This window comes from Homo sapiens, chromosome 7, assembly GCF_000001405.40.
Source record: "Homo sapiens chromosome 7, GRCh38.p14 Primary Assembly".
Taxonomy (NCBI): domain Eukaryota; kingdom Metazoa; phylum Chordata; class Mammalia; order Primates; family Hominidae; genus Homo; species Homo sapiens.
Window position 1 is genome coordinate 120,945,173 of NC_000007.14, and position 5,604 is coordinate 120,950,776.

Consider the following 5,604-nt stretch of genomic DNA (forward strand, 5'->3'; position numbering starts at 1 on the left):
TTAAACACTGTCTCCTTTGAGACTTGTCACAATCCTACAATGCAAGTGTCCTTTCTTACTCTCATTTCATGAATGAAAAAACAATTTAGGGACTTTGAGTAACTTGGCTCAGGTCATATGAGTAAATAACAGAGACAGGAGTCAAACTCAGGTATGATTAAAAAGCCCGTAACCACCCAATCCTACATTCCTTATTCATGCAACAAATATGAACTCAGTGTCTTCTGCAAGCTTGTAACAGAGCAGTGCATAAGAAACAATCCCTATCAGCCAAGGGCTCGAAGATGAGTTAATCACTCTACTTTTCCTAGAGGTGGCCACTCTCCTATTTCTATCATCATAGATTACTTTTACCTACTCAGAAACTTCATCTAAATGTCATCCTAGAATATGTACTCATGTGTGCCTCCACTTTTTTTCCTATTCTCTCCTTCTGGAACTCCTCTGAATCAGGTATTGGAAATTTCAAATTGATTCTCCAATTGTTACATTTTTTATTTTTATTTTTCTTGTTTGTTCTACATCCTGGGTTAATTTCATCAGTCATGACTTCCAGTACTCACATTTGTAGAATTCCTTTTTATTCTATCTGCAACAATTTATTCACGTCTTCTTTTCTTTCAGTGTTTTGCAATGTTTCAATGTGAGCTCACCATCAACAGTTGCTCCTCTTTGTGTCCTAGGACGAGGAACATCCCTAAAGGATATTATTATATATTATTGTATTTGCCTCTCTGGGGGGCCCCTCATCTTTTGCCAGACCAGACCAATTTTTACTGTCTTGTTTAAAGGGTCTCTGCACCTTGTGTGGAGTCTGAATTTGGATTCCACACCCATGCATGGTACAAGTTTGAGGTCTAAATTCCTCTGGGTTGCCTTTTCACCCATGATCTCAGGTGGATGGTCAGAAAGCTTTATTGTTGTTTCCCCAGGCAACTTCATAGGAGTAACCCTTCATGATTACTGGTTTATTACAAGATGGTTAGCGTTAGCTCCCTGCAAGCATAGTACCTGAGGCTTGTGATATCTTTACACAGTCAGAACCCAACAATTAAAGCCCATAAACTCTCAAGTTCTTTCAGCTTAAGCTCTTATTCTCTACACCAACTTTGAGTTTGCTCTTATTTCTGCTACCTGGAGATTTCATTCTCTGTTTTAAGTGTTATCCTTACATTTCATCCAGAATTTCTATTTGTTTTGAGGGAATGGTTTTGTGATGGCTTTGTATCCAGTAACCCACCATCTATCTCAGTATTGTCCCTCTACCATCCACTGAACGCATAGAGAGAAGTCCCCTTGGCAAAACCTCCTTAACTATCCTCCCATTAGACACTTGCCTTCTTCCTCTCTCTCCTCTTTTACTCCAGATTCTCCACCACCAACACCCAGCAGCCAGCCCAGGAAATTAGAACTTTCATAAAGAGGTTTCTTTAGTAGATATTAGGGGAGAGGGGAAAGGCTGAAAACATCCACAGGTGTGTAGACGGAAGACTACCATCATATTGATGCTGCTTATAACCAATCCAGTGAGTGACTCGATGACTTTCAAAGATGTAAAAGTAGGTTTACGTCATGACAGCATTTTACTCTTCTTTCTTTCCACATCACAGGGATGATGCACACTGCCTGGTGCAAAGTTTAAAAAATTTCACTTCAAAGTTTTAATAGGTTTCAAGATGGTAATTTTCTTTGTAAGATAGGGAAGTGTTAGAACCTTAAGACTTCAAGCAAGGGTTCCTCGAGAAACATGCTATGTGAGGGATTTAAATTTCCCCTTGTCTTAGACTCTGGTAAACAGTCATATTCTGTATCTACTTTTCAATCTTATCCCTAAATTTTAATTCCTTCTATTTTTATTTACCTAGTAGCCTTAACTGCAGTAGTCTTTTTTTTTTTTTTTTAAGACAAGAGTCTGGCTTTGTTGTCCAGGCTGTAGCGCAGTGGTGCGATCTCGGCTCACTGCAAGCTCCGCCCTCCCAGGTTCACGCCATTCTCCTGCCTCAGCCTCCAGAGTAGCTGGGACTATAGGTACCCACCACCATGCCCAGATAATTTTTTGTACTTTTAGTAGAGACGGGGTTTCACCGTGTTAGCCAGGATGGTCTCGATCTCCTGACCTTGTGATCTGCCCGCCTTGGCCTCCCAAAGTGCCAGGATTACAGGCATGAGCCACTGTGCCCAGCCGACTGCAGTAGTCTTACACAGCCTTCCTGGCTTGATTTCTCCCTTGAATTTAGTATGACAGTGGCAGAATCACACCTGTAGGTGAGATAATACTAGAGTTCTGGTGATGTCCAGCCTTAAGAGAAGCAGGGGCACAAGGTGGAACTAACAGCAGCAAAAAGGAATATCTGCAATAAGAGTAACTTAGGAGGACACATGTGATATTAATAATCATGGTAATAGCAGCTGACATTTATTGAATCATAACATTCATATGGCATTAATATAAGTGTTTTGCATAGAAAATACTTCAACCCACACTCCTATGATTCTGCTACTGTTTCTATTTCCCATTGACAGATCAGGAAACAAAGGCACAGAGTGTTAAAATTACTTTCTCAAGTTTATACAACTAGCGTTAGAGAAACTGACAAAGAAAGAGGGGAAAGGCAAGGGAAAAAGTAGAGCTTCTCTGGGGGCTCTCACCAGCAGGAGTTTGTGGGCCATGTATTTACTGTCCTGTACTTCTGTAAGGTTGCCAGTCTCTGTGTCTTTTCATTCCCAATTTCAAATCATAAGAAAATGCATCTGATAGGTCCAGCTTTGGTGAATCCCTGATAAATTAATGAGTTTTGATACAGACATGGTCAATCCATATGAGGGGCACTCCCTGGAAATGCAGTATTGGTTTTAAGTAGGCAGCCACTCAAAAATGGTATCTACTGTATGACCTAATTATGTAAGAAGTTATCACAAGCCTATGCAAACATAATTGTTGCAGCTCAGCTGATACATGTTCCAACAATAAGAGTTACATTATTTAACTAAAATATACAGTGTGTAAGTTTTATTTTTGGTTTCTGTGGAGTGTGTATTTATACTGACTGAATTGGGAATGATTTATTATCTCATTTCCCTTAATATGGAACACTCCCTGAGGAAGCTCAGTTTACACTGAAATGATGTACTTCTATTCATGATAGCATACCATTTTAGCTACTCTGAAAGAGCCACCTGGCAAAAACAACTAAAAGTGCTAGATTTAAAAAAATACACTGATGAACTAGTAGGAAATTAAGGAATTTTCAGAACGAATATAAAAGGGGAAAAAGAAGGAAAATGAAAATATCCTGAGAAATAAGTGCAAGCCAAAGTAGGCTTTTGTTCAGAGACTATCTGTCAAGTTCTGGACACCTAGAGCTCTTACTTTAATAGCTGTGCAGCATGCCAGGGTCAGAAGATAAACCCAAGTATCAGTTTAAAAGGAAGAGTCTTACAGCAGACAAAAATCTGGGGCCCCAATGGACTATACTCTCCATGTAAGGGTAAATGACATATAAGCCTCATGCACAGAATAGGCCAGTAATGAAACATGTCTGTCTTGGCCTTGGAGCCCAGTAAAGAAAGAAAAAAAAATTCTCCTCTGAGAATCTGTAACAATCCATTTGGGATAGAGGCCCAAATTCAATCTATCTGTGCAATACAATAAACCTCAAGGGGACAATTTAATCTGGTCCTAGGGGTTTATGATGTCTCCAAACAAACTGACAAGCAAATTCTAATGCTCTCCATGAAAACTCAATTTCAACTCCAGCTCAAAGAATCCTTATGCTTGTAATCCCAGAAACAGGAATTCAGAGTCCAAAATCGCAACCCAACAGGAAAAAGCCACCATGAGTAAAAGTGCCCATTTCTGAAGAAATAGCACTAAAAGGCCCATAAATGTTTCAATATTAGGTTTAACAGAAACAAGATACAGACTAAATAATTTGTATAAGAAATTATAAGATGTCTTGAAAAGAGAACCGAATAGAACTTCCAAACCTGAAAAATTATGAAAATTCTAAAATAAAACATATAAAAGAAAGATTAAGATAAATAAGAGAATAAAGAGAGAAAGTCTTAATGGAAAAAATGAGAAATAAGCAATACTGAAAAGACAAACGCTGAGAATTTTCTAGAATTGTTGCAGGGCACCAATCCTGAAATTCAGGAATCCCCTCAAATCCTAAGCATAATTTTAAAATTTTAAGGAAAGAAAAGGGAATAAGGAAGGAATTCAGACTTAGATCACTACAAAACTGCAAAAAGATGTCAAAGAGATGTTAAAAGCAGCCAGAAGAAGGAAGGATGGGAAACGAAGAAAGGAGGAAAAAAAGAAGGGAGAAAAAGATCGAAAGTACTTGATTTTCGATGGAAGTAATGAAAAACTTAACTAGAAACTATAAAATTCTAATTCTTATTAGGATCGAAGTAAGGTTCCGTTGAGATTCATCATGATTCATCATTCACGACAGGAAAGTTTCCTGCTTAAGAGCAGTGAAAACCTTGAGTACAAGAGTATGTAATGGAGAAGGAAAGCAAGAAACACACACACACAGTTTCAACTGCAATTTGAAAAACAGAAAATGAACAATAAATTATGAACTAATGACAATTTCCCCAGAAAATCGAAAAGTTAAGAAGAGTGGAAAATAACAATATCTAGCATTTATTGAGTGCAAGAGTTTTTAATAAAAAACAATTTAAAAAGAAACTGAGTAGGGACGTACTAAATATATCACAGGAAAACATTTGCTGGGAGAGGTCGAAAAGTAGAAACTAAAGAACGCCGAAGACAACCAACCTCGAATATGGACTATTTACTCAACATAAAGTTACTGCTATTAACAGCCTATTAGAAATCAAGGCTGCATCCGTAATTCATGGCTGCTCACTGTGATGATGAAGATTATTATTATTATTATTTGCGGATGCAGATTGTATGTATAGATCAATTACATTAGAATGACGATTAGATGGACCGCAAACTAGAATATATAAGTGGCTACTGACACTATTTGTGCATCTTTTAATCTGGGAAATGTATATTCACTCCATAGTCTCAGTATAAACTATTTTAAAATTACACGTAAGCCAACCAGGTGTCTCTTTTATATTTTAGAGTGAATAATGAGGATAAATTCCAGTAGAGAGTTCTATTTTAAGCAATCCAAATTCCCCGAACTTTGCTGATTATTCTAGTGTTTAGAACCTTTGCTATTTGCCTGGCACTTCTTGAAACCCATAACTCACAAACGCCGGGGCATGGAATCACATCAAAGAACAGGTGAAAAGTTGTTCCTAGTTGTGTTATGCAGGTGCATACAACTCCCGCCATTCTCTGTGCAAAAATCAACAAATAAACAGAGGCACCGCATTTCGGATTCTGTTACGCACTGTTTGCAATGGCGCCCGGTATTCGTAGTTTCTGCGAGGGGAGCCGCCAGCGCGCCAACCCTCGCTGAGGAGGAAGAAAACTACATTTCCCACAGAGGCACGGGGGCGAACACCGGCCGGGCTACGTCATTGCTTGAACCAACCAATAGCAGCTCCGGGCGGCAGTGAGGCAAGCGCCTCAGGCGCCAAAGTGGTTTTTTTTTTTTTCTTTTTTTTTTTTTG